Raw genomic sequence first — 15,330 nt, 5'->3', positions numbered from 1 at the left:
AAGGGGAAATACAAAACACAATGTCACCTGATAAATGGCCATGCCCTTTCCTGTTGCTCTTCTCTCTGACTCCTGCCCATCCTCTAGGTTCCAGGTCTTTAAGCTTTTGTATTTGCAGAGGATTTTTTCCCAACGCACTGTCAATATTCATTGACTATTTGGATCCTCACCACTATCTTGTAAAGGAGGAATTATTATCTTGATTTTACAGAAGTGGAAACTGAGGCTTCGAAGACTTAAGTACTCTGCCTCAGGTGCTTGTCCCTATGCAGGATCCATTTAAGTCATTCATTCCACCTGTCTGTTGAGCACCCACTATGTGCCCAGCGTTTGTTGGGCACTAAAGATGTAGCAGGCAGCAGAACCAGCATGGTGTATTTTCATGGAGTTGACAACTAGAGAAGATGCAGATCTTTAAGTGTAAACATCAATCAAATACAAAATCAGGAACTGATAAGTCTATCCCAAAGAATAAACTAGAATAGGGAGCCAGGAGAGAGGGCAAGTTATTTAAGCCAAACCTTAAAAGACGAGTAGGATTTAATGGGGCAAAGAGCACAGGAACAGTGTTCCAGGCAGAGGGAATGGCACATGCGAAGGGCCTGGGGTTGCAAAGAGCATGGTTTAAAGAACAGAGAGGAGACAGCATGGCTTGGAGCAGGGTAGGCAAAGAGGTGAGTGATGGGGGAAGAGATGAGAGGTGTCAGCAGGGGTGAGATGACATAGGACTTTATAGGTTGGGTTAAGGTGATTGAGTTTTATTCCCAAATGCATGGGAAGCTCCTGGAGAATCTTAAGCAAGGGAGTGACACCACCTGGTTACGTTTTAGAAAGACCCCCTTTGGGGGCCAAGGGGAGACGAGACTATCTGAGACAGGCATGGAAGAAGGGACACCTTCGGGGAGGAGACCACTGAAGTCACTCAGGCCAGAGGTGGTGGTGGCCTGGACTGCAGTGGGAGGAGTGGAGGAATCAGACAGCGCTTTTGGAATTGGTGACAATATCAAGGCTCAAAGAAGTGGAGAGCAGAGAGTGAGAGTCTGACCCTTCCAAACCTGAGCTTTTCCTCTTACCAGGTCAGGTGCTACTTTTTCCCTAGGAGGCTGCAGGAAGCCTCCATGAGGCAGATGCCTGGGTTGCTTATATTTAATGTTCTCCATGTGAACCCTAAAGTGCCTGGTTGGCACTGAGAAGTTTCTTGCCAGACCGGGATCTTGCACAGATGTGAATGGGGGGGCCTTCCCTTAGGAGACTCCACAGAGGAGGTGAGCTCTGAGTAAGGTGGTGTAGGGAGCGAGTAGATTTGAAGGTGTTGGCTCCCCTCACAGCTGGTCTTTCTGTATGAGCTCGGAGAATCTGCTAGGGCCCCACAAAGTGGAGCTGGGGAGCATTGTGCAATCTGCATCCCAGAATTGTTGTGAATCAAGGTGGGCAGGTGATGTGAAGGCACTCAGTGAATGGTTCATATTGGCAGAAGGCCATAACTGGGGACGGGGATGGGAGATACATGGATGTCTCAGACAGCAAAGCCCAGGTCCAAGGCCAGTGTTTCTGCTGAGCCAATGGGACAGGGTGGGCAAGGGTTTGAGGGAGAGGAAGAGAACAGTGGATGGCAATGTGGACTTTGGAGTCCGGTTTCCTGGGTGCCAATCCTGGTTCCATCTGTGTCTCCAGCCAAGTGATTTAACTTTGCTGGGCATCAGTGTTTTCCTCTGTAAAATGGGGATGTTAACAATGCTTTTTTGTAGAGTATTGAGAAGATTCAGTGAGAAAATGCTTCTAAATATTAATAGTAGGTGGAGGGCTTCTCTTTAACTTGTCTAAAGCAGAACTCTTTTTTTTCTTTTTTTTTTTTTTTTTTTTGAGACGGAGTCTCGCTCTGTCACCCAGGCTGGAGTGCAGTGGCGCGATCTCGGCTCATTGCAAGCTCCACCTCCTGGGAAGCAGAACTCTTTTTTTTTTGAGACAGAGTCTCGCTTTGTCACCCAGGCTGGAGTGCAGTGGCGCAATCTCAGCTCACTGCAACCTCCGCCTCCCGGGTTTAAGTGATTCTTCTGCCTCAGCCTCCCGAGTAGCTGGGATTACAGGTGTGTGCCACCATGCCCAGCTAATTTTGGTATTTTTAGTAGAGACGGATTTCACTGTGTTGGTCAGGCTGGTCTCGAACTCCTGACCTCAAGCAATCCACCTGCCTTGGCCTCCCAGAGTGCTGGGATTACAGGCATGAGCCACTGCACCCAGCCTAAAGCAGAACTCTTGATTCCCTCTCCCAAGCTTTTCCAAGAGCTTGTGTCCATCTCAGTAAATGGTTGTCACAACAACAACCTAGACTTCTTCCTTGATCCCTCACTTTCCTTCAAATGTCCAGAGCTCAGAGTTTGCTTCAACGATGACAGGCACTGTGTCTCATGCGATCTGGGCTAATACAGTTCCGTTAAGTTAAACTCCTCTGAATCAATGTAGAGCACCTTCTGTAGGCAGGGCCCTCTGTGGATGCTGCTCAGGGTCCGCACAGTTCTGAGAGAGGCACAGAGAGGCTGAGTGGTTTGCTCAAAGTTGCACAGCTAGGACTCAGCAGTCTTTGCAGAGGCTGAGAGAGGCCAAGGCAGCTTCTAATTCTTGAGCCTCCTAGTGTACTAAGAACGAAGGAATACTGAAATGGATTTACAGACCTGTGCTTTTAGCAATGACAACAATAAAATGCCACGTTAACTGATATTTATAAGGTCATTTCAGGATTTATTAAAACAAAATGCATACTATCTTACTGGTGGTGTGGTCTGGCAGTGTCATTCAACTATAAAGTAAAAAATACACATTTTGTTTTAATTTCATCCCCTCAGGAATGTGACACATGGGCCAAGTGACACATAGGCCACACCTAGCCCCACAGCTGGGACTTAACTACCTATTTATGTGACTCTAAAGTTGACACCTTTTCAGCCATCCTCAGTTGCTTTTGCAGAGATGCAAGAGGCCCAGGACTTCACAGACTTTGGAGGAAGAGAAATGTGCATGGGATCAGTGTAACAGCAAGGCCTGGGGCAAGGAGAGCTGGGCTCTGGAATTGGCTTGCCCATGACTGAGTCTGGGCAAGTCCTTGCCCTCTCTGACCCGCCTTGGGGTGCTCCTCTGAAAAGGGGGTGGATAATAACAGCCCCTGCTTTAGTGAATTGTTGGGAAGATGCCAAAAGATGATGCAAAGAATACACATAACATATGCCTGCACAGAGCAGGTGCCATGTAGCTGCTCTTGTTACTTAGTAGAATAGTGGGATGGTCTAGGGGCCTGGAGCATCGAGGCTTGAGAGCTCCTCAGGAGCATGGCCAAGCTGAGCCACCCTGTGTCCCTAGCTCCTGGCACAAGGTCTGGCACAGTGGGCCCTCCCTGAAGATGTGGAACTGAATCGTGTGGAAGAGGCGCTTGCCCAGGCTGAGCAGGAGTGGAGCACCAGGGGAGGACAGGGGAACTGAGTGGAGGGCCTGGCCTTTGCCTTCTTCTCCCGCCTTGTGAGGCCAGGTGGGCACTCCCATTAGCTCCCTTTTGCAGGGTGTGGAGGTCATTGCCCCTTTGTCAGCTTCTTCAATAAATCAATACCAAGCACCTCCTGGGTTGCAGGTGCTGGAGACACAGCAGTGAAGAGGACAGACACAGGCTAGTATGATTATTATCATGGTTCTAATCTGAATGGTGAATGTGGGTTCACATTAACTCATTATTAAAAATAAGTAAAACAATAAGTGAATGGATAGAGAAAGAGGGCTCCATCCAGCCCAGTGATGGGAGTACGCTGTGAACCAAGGATTATGATTAATCCAATTTTGTGCACCTGGGATCCTTCTAAAAGACAGGATGAGACATAATGGGACACACATGCTCCCTGTGCTGGCATAAACATTCAGTTTGGGGGAAAAGAGGTAATAAACAAGCACGTGACACGAGGCTTGAAGGTGAGACAGCAAAAAGTGCTAGAAGAAAGTGCAACCTGGTAGAGGACGTAGTGATGAGAAGTGCCATGTGAGACAGGATGTCAAAAGGCCTCTCTGTGGAGGGGGTGTTTAAGTGTAATTCTGGAGTAAGTAAGGGGACGAGCCTTAGGAACACCTGGGGAAGGACTGCACTGGGCAGGAGGAAGGGCAAGAGCAAAAGTCCTGAGGCAAGAAGAAGCGCGGGCGTGGATTGCAGGAACAGAAAGGCAGACAGCTTGGAGGAAGTGAGTGAAGGGGGTGGGGAGAGAGGAGTTGAGGTGGGCAGGGGCCCTTCAGAATGAGGCATCTTGAAGCTGGCTCGCTTTGCTGGCCTTCTCTGTGGCCTCCCAGGCTTGGGTCGTTAGTACCCTGGACAGCGGCCTTGGCCCTCCTGAGCGCTTGCCGTGATGGGCACTCCCTACTGAGCACACAACTTATATTAAGTCTGTTTCTGGGCAGTGAAATGGGGATGGGGAAACAGATGATATTGCAATGATTGGCCCCTGCCCACAGGAAGCACACAGTCATTGGACAAGACGTTAATGTACAGTTTAATGAATTTTTTCTTTTTTTTTGAGGCAGAGTCTTGCTCTTTTGCCCAGGGTGGAGTGCAGCAGCTTGATCTCGGCTCACTGCAACCTCAGCCCCCAGGTTCAAGCCTTAGCCTCCTGAGTAGCTGGGATTACAAGCATGCACTACCACACCCAGCTAATTTTTTGTATTTTTAGCAGAGACAGGATTTCACCATGTTGGCCAGGCTGGTCTCAAACTCCTGGCCTCAAGTGACCCAGCCTCAGTCTCCCAAAGTGCTGAGATTACAGGTGTGAACCACCACCCCTGGCCAGTTTAATGAATCTTGATCGAGTGAACATCTGTGCATTCACCACTTGGGTGGAGATGTCAAAGGCACCCAGAAGCCCCACCCCGTGTGTCCCTTTCCAAACATACTCCTTCCTCTCTGCTGGAGGTAACTACAATTCTCACTTTTGGGATAATCATTTATTTGATTTTCTGCATGTGTATCATTTAATATGTTCTAATTTTAATTAAAAAAATGAGTACAGGCCAGGCACAGTGGCTCATGACTATAACCCCAGCATGTAGGGAGACTGAGGAGGGAGGATCGCTTGAGCCCGGGAGTTCAAGACCAGCCCATGCAACATGTTGAAATCCTGTCTCTACCAAAAAGTACAAAACTTAGCTGGGTGTGGTAGCATGTGCCTTTGGTCCCAGCTACTCAGGAGGCTGAGGTAGGAGGATTGCTTGCTGGGGGGTGGCAGTTGCAGTGAGCTGAGATTGCACCACTGTACTCCAGCCTGGTTGACAGAGTGAGACGACCCTGTCTCAAAAACAAAAACAAAAACAAATAAAAAACCCCCCAAACCCCAAACCCCCACCAAAAAACAAGTACAATCTCATTATTAAAACTAAAGTGCTGGCCGGGCACAGTGGCTCATGCCTGTAATCCCAGCACTTTGGGAGGCCCAGGCAGGAGGATCACAAGGTCAGGAGATTAAGACTATCTTGGCTAACACGGTGAAACCCCATCTCTACTGAAAATACAAAAAATTAGCCTGGTGTGGTGGCACGTGCCTGTAATCCCAGCTACTCGGGAGGCTGAGGCAGGAGAATCCCTTGAACCCGGGAGGCAGAGGTTGCAGTGAGCCAAGATCACACCACTGCACTCCAGCCTGGGTGACAGAGTGAGACTCTATCTCAAAACAAACAAACAAACCAAAACTGAAGTTACTACAAAAGAGGTTATAATTAGTTACCTTCCAGACCATTTTTTCTGCATTTGCTTAATACTTGTACGCCCATAGAAAAGATACAGTTTTTAAAAATAGATGTATGTGTTTTACATCAATGATATCAAGTTGTATAAATTGTTCTGCAACTTGCTTTTTCACTTAACAGTGTCTTGGAGAACTTTTCATGTCCGCAATCCATAGATCAGTCTCATTCTCTTTCATAACTGCATAGTATTCCTGAGTATGAATGTATTATAATTTACTTAGCCACTGTCCTATCGGTGGCATCTAGACTGTTTCTTATTTTTCTCAACCTCAAATCTTGATGTAGTTAGTGAACATGTTTGTTCTTAGGGCATGGTAGCAAATATTAAATTTAAGATTAATTAAGTTCCTGGCCAGGCGTGGTGGCTCTTGCCTGTAATCCCAGCACTTTGGGAGGCCAAGGCAGGTGGATCACTTGAGGTTGGGAGTTCGAGACCAGCCTGACCAACATGGAGAAACCCCGTCTCTACTAAAATACAAAATTAGCCAGGTGTGGTGGTGCATGCCTGTAATCCCAGCTACTCGGGAGGCTGAGGCAGGAGAATCGCTTGAACACAGGAGGCAGAGGTTGTAGTGAGCCAAGATTGTGCCATTGCACTCCAGCCTGGGCAACGAGAGCAAGACTCCTTCTCAAAAAAAAAAAAAAAAAAAAAAAAAGATTAATTAAGTTCCTGTCAGCCAATTTTACTGCCCCCATTTCACAGATGAGGAGCTTGAGGCTTAGAGAGAGAAGTCACCTGCCCAGGGTCACACAGCAAATGAATGGAGGAACCAGATTCCAAACCCTCATCTGATTGACTACCAAACTAGTCATTATGTTCACCTGTATAGATGGTTAACCATCTGCAGGGCAGTTGTCCTTACCCAACAAACATTCCTGGAGCCTCAGCTAAATGCAGGCCCAGTGCTGGGTGCTGAGTCTACAAGAACATGTCAAACTGAGCCCTCTTCTCAAGGAGCTCACAGTCTGTAGGTACAGCCTCATTGGGAAGTGATTCAGTGCAGTACAATTAGTGCTAAAGCCCGGGGATACTACCTGGAGCTGTGGCAAGACTGAGGTCAGGGAAGGCTTCCAGAGAGAGGATATTTGAGCAGAGGCTGGTGTGTACAGAATTTGTGGCAGACAAAGCAGGCATGAGGGATGGGACACATAGGGGAGCCCAAGTTATTGAACAGAGGAGAAAGGTGAGCTCTGAGGGTGAGATAGCTGAGGAGGTTGAGAGGCACCATATCCACTTGGGTTTGGAGAGCCAGCCTTGGATTTTATTCTGTGGACCATGGGTGCCTGGAAGGATTTATTCATTCAACAAGTAAGGTTCAAGCATCAACTATATGCCAGGCACTGTTAAAGCACCAAGAATACCACAGTGAACAAGACAGAAAAGGACACCTGTCTTCAGAAAGCTTACATTTTAGAGGGTGAAAGAGACAGTAAAGCAAATAGGCGGCAATTGAATTTCAGAGTGCTCTGAAGGAAATAAAACTGGGAATGGAGTGGAGCATGACTAGGGAGGGTTTCTCTGAGGAGTGGCCTTTGAGTGGAGTCTTGAAGGATGAGAGGAAGGGGAGGAGGTGGGGAACAGCATTCAAGGGGGCTGGCAAGGTTGAAGGCCCCATGTTGGGGACAAAATTAGCTTCCTCCAGTGTGGCTGAGGTGTGGTACTCCTGTGGCCAGCGGGGAGGTCCTGTAGGGCCCTGGAGGCCACAGTAAGGGGACTGGGTTTGTCCTGGGGGCAGCAGGACTGGAGGGCTCTGGACCAAGGCCATGGGCTCTTGCTTTTCAGCCTTTGGACAGCTCCCTGCGCTGGGATGACAGCGGCGGCCTCTGAGCCTGCAGAGTTGGTGCTGCGCCCAGTGGGAGCTAGAGAACAGGAAGTGCGCATGTGGGCTGTGGAAAGCCTGGGGGCAGCAGCAAGGGGGCTAGGGACTCCTGGGCCAAGGGCAGAGCCTCATTGAGGAAGACCCAGGGCCAGGCGCCTGCTCCCACAGGTCATTCAGAGACCCTGGTGAGCACATGGCAGTGGATGCCAAGGGACCCTGTTCCTGGGGGATCTGCAGTCTGAATGAGACTCACACAAGCCAGGTTGAGGAGCAGTGAGCTCAACAAAACAGCTGAAGCACAAGCTTTGGGGTCAACAAGCCTCTGGGTTCACTCCAGCCTCATTGTGTGACTGTGGGCCTCAGCTTCCTCATCTTTAAAGTGAGGATGATAATGGTCTCTCCCTCATAAGATGACAGTGAGGAGTAAGTGGGTTGCCGAGTATACCCAGCCAGGGCCTCTTTAGAGTAGGTTGGCCATGCTTTACCTCCCTATTTGTCAATGGCCAGTTGAGCCGTCAGTCCATCTCACCCGTTCTTGTTTCTTTCAAGCTACAGAATGTTAGAGCTGGGGCCGGGCCACAGTGGCTCATGCCTGTAATTCCAGCACTTTGGGAGGCTGAGGTGGGTGGATCACTTGAGGGCAGGAGTTTGAGATCAGCCTGGCCAACATGGTGAAACCCTATTTCTACTAAAAATACAAAAATTAGCTGGGCATGGTGGCGCATGGTTGTAGCCCCAGCTACTCAGGAGACTGAGGCAAGAGAATCACTTGAACCCAGGAGGTGGAGGTTGCAGTGAGCCAAATAAAGTAAAATAAAATAAAAGAATGTTCAAGCTGGAAGAAGTCTTAGAGTGCTTCTCCAGCCCATCTCAGACATATATCTGGGGAAACTGAGGTCCAGGGAGTTCAGGGGGCTGGCCCTAGGTCACTAGAGGGCGAATTTCAGAACAGGGACTGGTTGGTCTTCTTTTATTTGTTGGTTTGTTTTTCAGAGACAGTCTCGCTCTGTCACCCAGGCTGAAGTAGAGTGGTGTGATCTCAGCTCACTGCAACCTCCGCCTCCTGGGTTCAAGCGATTTTCCTGCCTCAGTTTCTCAAGTAGCTGGGACTACAGGCGTGCGCCACCATGCCCAGCTAATTTTTGTATTTTTCAGTAGAGATGGGGTTTTATTGTATGTTGGCCAGGCTGGTCTTGAACTCCTGACCTCAGGTGATCCGCCCTCGTCGACCTTGCAAAGTGCTGGGATTACAGGTGTGAGCCACCACACCCGGCCAGTTAGTCTTCTTTTATCTTCTTTGAGCCACATCACAGTGCTTCTTTTCTTACATGAGGCGAACTGGGAATTCTGGTGGATGTGGAAAATTGGCTGTGGTGGGGAGATATGATGAGGAATGTTTGTATCCATGTGAATTTGTTAAGCATCTGCTGACTTCTGGTCCACAGACCTTGCTTCTTGGAAGATGCTGCTTCCTGACTTTCCCCCTGGAACTGACCCAAGTGTCTTCCCCCTGCTTCCCTTCTCACTGTGTCTTTCAGTGATGGCCTCGCATCCACCCAGCCACCCCAGCCCAGCACCCACTTCTCATATCCTGTTCCTGTAGACTCCAGCTTGAATATGTATCCTCATCCTAATCCTCATGGCTCCTTTCTCCCCTGCCGCCTTGGACCACTGTCCCAGCCTCCCCATTGGTCATCCTGTCTCCAGATTCCATGCTACCAGCCGGTCCCCACATTTGTCCCCAGTAGAACTTCCTTACACAGAATGCTTCTGCGCAGAAGCCTTCCACCTGCAACTTCAAATCCAACCTCAAAGGAACTTGAGGACAAACTTGGGAAAGCCAAGTTTGTCTCCACCTTGGGGTCTTCAACCTTGGCAACCCCCTTGAATGCTGTTTCCCACCTCCTGCCCTTCCTTTCATCCTTCAGGACCTCAGGTCCTACCCTGATCTTTCTTACCTGAGCTTAAGCTCTTCCACCTGCCCCAATCTTCTGTGCCAGGAAAGATACTTTAACATACCTGGACCTCATTCTTGACTTCTCCGTGACTCCCATGCCCCACATTCAGCCAATCACCAATTATTGCTTCCTGTCATCATCACCTGATGGTGATGTGGAATTCATCAGCTTCCTCACGCTGACCCCCACACTCCATCCTCTGGTTCTTCACTGCGGCCTCCAAAGCAGCCAGGATTGTCACAAAAGTGTTCATAGAACCATGCCACTCCCCTGCTTGAAACCTTCTCAGGTGTCCCACTGTTCTTGAAGTCCCAAATTCTTACCTTGGCCTGCAAGGCCCTGTGCGATCTGGCCCTGGCCGCCTCTCCACCTCACACCTCGTCTCCTATCTTCTCTTCTTTGTTCACTCTGCTCCAGCTCTATAGGCCTCCTTTCTGATCCTGGAATTGCCACACTGTTTGTTTCCATGGGGCCATCGCCTCCTCTGTTCCCATTGCCTGGAGTGTCTTCCTTCACATTCTTTGCCTCGAGAATACTGTGTCTAATTGCTATGTAAATGTCACTTCCTTGGGACAGTTTTCTGCAACATGCCATCCTTTGTTTACATCAGGTATCCTCCTTCTACTTTTTTTAAGAGTCAGGGTCTCTCTCTGTCACCCAGGCTGGAGTGCAGTGGCATGATCGTAGCTCACTGCAGCCTCGACCTCAAGCAATCTTCCCGCCTCAGCCTCTCGAGTAGCTGGGACTACAGACGCACACCACCACACCCAGCTAAGTTAAAACAATTTTTTTTGTAGAGATGGGGTCTCGATATGTTGTCCAGACAGGTCTCAAACTCCTGGTGTCAAGCAACTCTCCCACCTCAGCCTCTCAAAGCGCCAGGATTACAGGTGTGAGCCACCATGCCCAGCCCCTCCTCTACCTATTCTTGAAATCACTTTTCCTAACTTAGAATTACATATTTATTTGATGGCTTTTTATTTTTTATTTTATTTATTTATTTATTTATTTTAGAGATTGAGTCTTGCTCTGTCACTCAGGCTGGAGAGCAGTGGTGCCATCATAGCTCATTGCAGCCTTGAACTCCTGGGCTCAAGTGATCCTCCTGCTTTACCCTCCAGAGGAGCCAGGACTACAGGGGTATGCCACCATGCCCTGCTAGTTGATAACTTTTAAAAATTATTTCTCCCCCAAAGACTATAAGCTCTATGGGTTGCTTTTAACCACTGTATTCTCTGAGCTTAGCAATGGCTTGGCACATAATAGCATTTATTGGATATTTATTAAGTGATAAATTACCAAGGTATTTTTATCCACTCCAGTCTTCCTCTCAGACTGTTAGCTCCTTGAGGTCAGATTTTAGATCTAGCTCACCTCTGGGTCCTCAGCTCCCAGCACAGGGCTTGGCACTGAGGGACATGAGGAAATGTTTGAATTGAAGGAAATGGGGAAGGGTTGGCCCACCTTCAGCCAGGAGCTGATGGGATCAGGAGTCCAGTGCATTGCCGAATATCAAGAAACTGACTCGAAGGCTGTGGGCGTTGGACTGTGAGCTGCAGAGGTATTCCAGCATTGCTGACTGGACAAGGAGTGGCTGGCTGTTGCTGTTGTCTCCTGAAGGATGGGGAGCATTTCACGCCTCCAAGAAGGAGCTCCATGGCTCAGTACAGAGAGATCAAGCTGTCAGGGGGACAGACCTGGGCTTAAATCCTGACTCCACCACTCATGCTGTGTGACTTGGGGCAGGAGACTTCACCTTTCTGAGGCTCAATTTGTTAGTAAAATGAGGATGATAGCAGACCTTTACCTCCTCAGACTGTCATGAGGACTTAGAAATAATATATTGGTTCAAATAGCACAGAGTAGTCCAGGCACAGTGGCTCACGACTGTAATCTCAGCACTTTGGGAGGCTGAGGCGGGTGGATGGCTTTGAGCCTAGGAGTTCTGAGACCAGCCTGGGCAACATGGCAAAACCCATGTCTCTACTAAAAATACAAAACTAGCTGGATGTGGTGGTGCACGCCTGTGGTCCCAGCTATCTGGGAGGCTGAGGTGGGAGGATGGCATGAGCCTGGGAGGCAGAGTTTGCAGTGAGCCAAGATCATGCCACTGCACTCCAGCCTGAGTGACAGAGCCAGACAGTCTCAAAAAAAAAAAAAAAAAAGGAAAGCATAGACCACAATGCTGTGGGGGCTGCTGCTGCTAATGAAGACAAAGAGGAAGATATATTTTAAGTCCCTGAATGCTGGATACTCCTAAGCAGAACTTGACTTTGACTTAGGGCTGCTGGAGAAGCAAAGGGGCACTTCGGGTCTAGAGGGCAAAGCAGGTGTGTAAACAGGAAATAGGCTTGAGGTCATGTCTGTAATCCCAGCACTTTGGGAGGCTGAGGTGTGTGGATCACATGATCTCAGGAGTTCGAGACCAGTTTGGCCAATGTGGTGAAACCCTGTCTCTCCTAAAAACACAAAAATTAGCCTGGCCTGGTGGTGTGCACCTGTAATCCCGGCTACTCGGGAGGCTGAGGAGGCGTGAGATGCGCTTGAACCCAGGAGGCGGAGGTTGCAGTGAGCCGGGATTGTGCCATTGCACTCCAGCCTGAGCGACAGAGTGAGACTCTGTCTCAAAGGAAAAAAAAAAAAAAAGAGCCTGGACTTTAAAAATAAAGCTAAAGCTTAATTTAATTTTTTTTAAAAGGGGAAATAGGCTTGAGCCTAGAAGCCAGGAAAGTGGGCAAGAGTGGCAAGCAGTGTCTCGGGTGGGCCAGAGCTGAGGCTGGGCATGGTTTGAGGGTCTCTGAGGCCCACTGGGGGACCACATGGCCCTGCAGCAGGAGCAGACACACATCTCTTTGTGTATGTGTTTGTCTGCCACCCCTATCATCCTGTTTTCCTGCCACCCCTATCATCCTGTTTTCCTGCTTGTTTGGGTCCCTAGGTTAGCTTTCCCTAACCCCCCAGAGGCTGCCCCTGGCCTGGGCGCTGCTGAAGCCCCGTGTGCTTAGATGCAGCAAGGGGACTGGGCAGAGGGAGGTGGGTATCATTGAGTCTTGGGCCCAAGTTCATCTCCTGGCCCAGCCATGGACTCAGAGTATGGCCTGAGGCTTGGTCTCCCTGTCTCCTGCCAAGCTAGGGGTCTGAGGAGCCTCTCTGAGCTCCCACATGCCACAGCCCTACAGATGAGGGCAGTGCCTATGGGGAAAGAACCCTTGGGTTCCCTCACAGAGCAAGGATGATGCTGGGGGCTGAGTAGAGAGATCACCAAAGCAGCAGACATTCAGAGAGAGGCTGGGGAACTGAGCCACAGAGAGGGTCCCCAGGGGTGGCCAAGAGGAAGAGGCCATGGCTGGGGGGCCCTGAGGGGTGAAGAATCTCGCTCTGCTGTCCCCGGTGGGCTGGCTGCTCCCCCCCACCACTCCCCGCCGGGCCCCCGGGGGACCTCGCTCTAATAATGTATTTGATCGACTCGCCGGCCGCGTACAAGCGATTATTGTCTTGTCGGGAGTCAAACGTATCGATCCGGCGAGAAATATGAGCGGAGCAATGGGGCCCGCGTGTCAGTTACCAGCCCCGCTGGCCCTGGGGAGCCCCCTACGTCTCCTTTAATTACCGCTCAGCCCTGAGCCCAGCCTGGCCTCCCCTGTACCGCCTCCCTCCCAGCTCCCTGCACCTCAAGTGGCCCCCACTGCTCCCTAGCTCCCATGCCCTACCTGCCTCCCTCAGCATGGCTCGAGGCCTCTTCTGTGGCAACGAGGCCACCATCTCCCCCTGCCTTGAGCCTCCCTGTTCCAGCTGCCAGTGTGTTCCAAACTCTGCCCCTCTATCCTCTCTCAGGCAGGCCCATCCTCCTTCAAGATCCCCTCACCAGGCCCAGCTCTGGTCTGAGGCACTGAGAATGGAGCCAGCATGGGAGGCGAGAGGTGTGGGGTTGTTTCATCTCTCAGGGAGCGTATACAGCCTTCCCCGGCTCCAGGACTGAACTGCAGACCTGGCCGCACTGGAAGTGGGTGGTCCTTCTCTGCTGGCTCTAGGGGGCTGGAATGGGGTCACATCCAAAAGCGTGTTCCTGACGTGGATGATGTTGAGTCTGTCCAGGGTGGAGCATAAGGGTGGCTGGTGAGGTTTTGCCCCCCCCCATAATGTCCTATAGCCCCATTTCCAAGCCCCCCAAAACAAATCCTAACTGAAAACAAAGCTTACTGCGTAAATGTCGCTTTGAGACAAGGCTCCAGTGTCCACTGCTACCAGGCTGCTGTCGGGAAGACCCTCATGTATAGAAATCCTGTGGCCAGTTGCTGTGTGGTCTGTGGATCTCCTCTGTGAAATGGCCTTTACGATACGGGATGTTGTGGAGTGTAGATGCCGGGAAACGGTCACCTCTCGTGTGCATATATGAGAACTGCCAGTCCTTCCTGTTGTGCCCACCTGCTTGCCTGGGTGTGTCTGGGTGCACAGGGCACGTGTGCAGTCAGGGGAGGGCACTCCTGTAGTTGTGCCTGTAGTATACCCTTTCTGAGTGTGCCTGTGTGTGAGTGGGTGCGAGTGGCCAGGAAGTATGCTTGGGCACATATGTGTAGAAGTGCCCTTGTGCCCATGGGTCCATGTGAGGGAGTAGAGGAGGTATCAGTATATGGGAGTGACCATCGTCAGCAGGGAGGGCTGGTGTTGGGGCCTGTGCACATAGATGTGTTCATGCACGTGTGTGTGCACACGTGTGTGTGTGTGAAGTGCTGGGGTTCATCTGTAGAAATACTTGTGTGTGTGAGGGTGAGTCCAGGCGTCTGTGCATGCACCTGTGGTTTAGGGGGCCCCCCAGCCACGGGGCGCAGGATGTCCTGCGGGGCCCAGGCGGGCATGTGGGGTGTCTGGAGACGCCAGGCAGCCCCACAGCCTCAGACCTCGGGCACCAAGAGGAAGAGGGCAGCGGACTCGGGCGCGCCTTTGTCTGAGCTGCGGTGCGCCGGGAGTCCTGCGCCTTTGTGTGACCCTCGCAGGTGTGCGAGCGGAGGTGTTGGGAGGGTGTTGGGGAGGGGAGCGGAGGGAGGGGCTCCCTTCTCCGCAGCCGGCCCCGCCCTCCGGCCCATTGGCTGGGCGCTGCCGCCCTCTGGCGGGCACGGAGGGAAGCGCTGAAATGGGAGCGCCGCAGCGCGAAGAGCCAGCCGGCAGCCCGGGGACCTGGTGCTCCCCTCCACTGGAGCCGCCTCGGGCGCCCGCATTTGGCCGGCGACTTATTGTAGCCCCAGGCCAAGTCCCCGACCCACCGTCCCCACTACCACTGCCCACGGGCACCACTTCCTCCCAATGGTGGCACCCAACAGCTCACCTGCAGATAGGCGCAGGGCTTGCTTGATCTTCCCTGCCGCGGCGTGCTTTTAAGCTTCAACGCTTCTTGGCTCTGGGCCTTTGGGAAAGCTACTGCTCACCTCTCTGATCCTCAGTCTTTTCATCTGTAAAATGGGGCAAATAAGAGTGACCACCACATTGGAGATGGCACCTGTCAAGAGTGAGGCACAGGGTCAGGCATCGGCAAAGCCCTCTCTCCAATAAGCTGCTGGCTAGTGTTTTATTGTTGTTACTGCTGTGGACCCACCTTCTCTCCCAGACCCCCATTCCCTGTTCCAGACTTGTTTGCCTCCATGGGGGCGACAGAAGTCGGGGGGCAACTGTTGCAGGCACCTCTTGGATCGCAGCCGTAGGAGTCGGCTCTTCCAGCCTGCTTATCCTCTGCCCCACTAGCCCCCACCCCCCAGCACACACACATGATTTGGGGTGGGCCGGGCTGCCGG

At 51.2% G+C, this 15,330-nt stretch overlaps 1 protein-coding gene, 1 long non-coding RNA gene and 1 other non-coding gene across 5 annotated transcripts in view, besides 5 other annotated features; 2 read left to right on the top strand and 1 right to left on the bottom strand.

The window, feature by feature from the left end:
- The window catches only part of POU2F2 (POU class 2 homeobox 2), a 111,827-nt gene that overhangs the window by 50,041 nt on the left and 46,456 nt on the right, over positions 1-15,330 (top strand). The window lies entirely within an intron of this gene.
- Positions 7,465-7,759: a silencer, noted in NCBI's record as "tiled region #1615; HepG2 Repressive DNase unmatched - State 10:DNaseD, and K562 Repressive non-DNase unmatched - State 20:ReprD". NCBI's record gives its function as "represses a minimal TATA promoter and a strong SV40 promoter by Sharpr-MPRA in HepG2 and K562 cells {active_cell/tissue: HepG2 | K562}" and the evidence as "EXISTENCE:reporter gene assay evidence [ECO:0000049][PMID:27701403]".
- Positions 7,465-8,159: a biological region, named in NCBI's record as "Sharpr-MPRA regulatory region 1615".
- Positions 7,658-8,159: an enhancer, noted in NCBI's record as "H3K4me1 hESC enhancer chr19:42643889-42644390 (GRCh37/hg19 assembly coordinates)". NCBI's record gives its function as "activates a minimal SCP1, AML or CMV promoter by ChIP-STARR-seq in naive H9 embryonic stem cells {active_cell/tissue: H9 hESC(naive)}" and the evidence as "EXISTENCE:reporter gene assay evidence [ECO:0000049][PMID:30033119]".
- Positions 10,797-15,267, bottom strand: LNROP (long non-coding regulator of POU2F2). The gene is made up of 3 exons (NR_038332.1): positions 15,135-15,267; positions 14,868-14,991; positions 10,797-11,224 (listed from the first exon to the last, which is right to left on the bottom strand). It is a non-coding gene; the product is annotated as a long non-coding regulator of POU2F2 (long non-coding RNA).
- Positions 14,179-14,228: an enhancer, noted in NCBI's record as "active region_14702". NCBI's record gives its function as "activates an Ori minimal core promoter by ATAC-STARR-seq in GM12878 lymphoblastoid cells {active_cell/tissue: GM12878}" and the evidence as "EXISTENCE:reporter gene assay evidence [ECO:0000049][PMID:35858748]".
- Positions 14,383-14,451, top strand: MIR4323 (microRNA 4323). Its single transcript, NR_036208.1, has one exon. It is a non-coding gene; the product is annotated as a microRNA 4323 (primary transcript).
- Positions 14,509-14,768: a silencer, noted in NCBI's record as "silent region_10686". NCBI's record gives its function as "represses an Ori minimal core promoter by ATAC-STARR-seq in GM12878 lymphoblastoid cells {active_cell/tissue: GM12878}" and the evidence as "EXISTENCE:reporter gene assay evidence [ECO:0000049][PMID:35858748]".

The sequence above is a fragment of the Homo sapiens genome, chromosome 19 (genome assembly GCF_000001405.40).
Source record: "Homo sapiens chromosome 19, GRCh38.p14 Primary Assembly".
Classification (NCBI taxonomy): Eukaryota; Metazoa; Chordata; class Mammalia; order Primates; family Hominidae; genus Homo; species Homo sapiens.
Note: the sequence above shows the minus strand (reverse complement) of the source record. Positions and strands in the feature narration are given on the sequence as shown.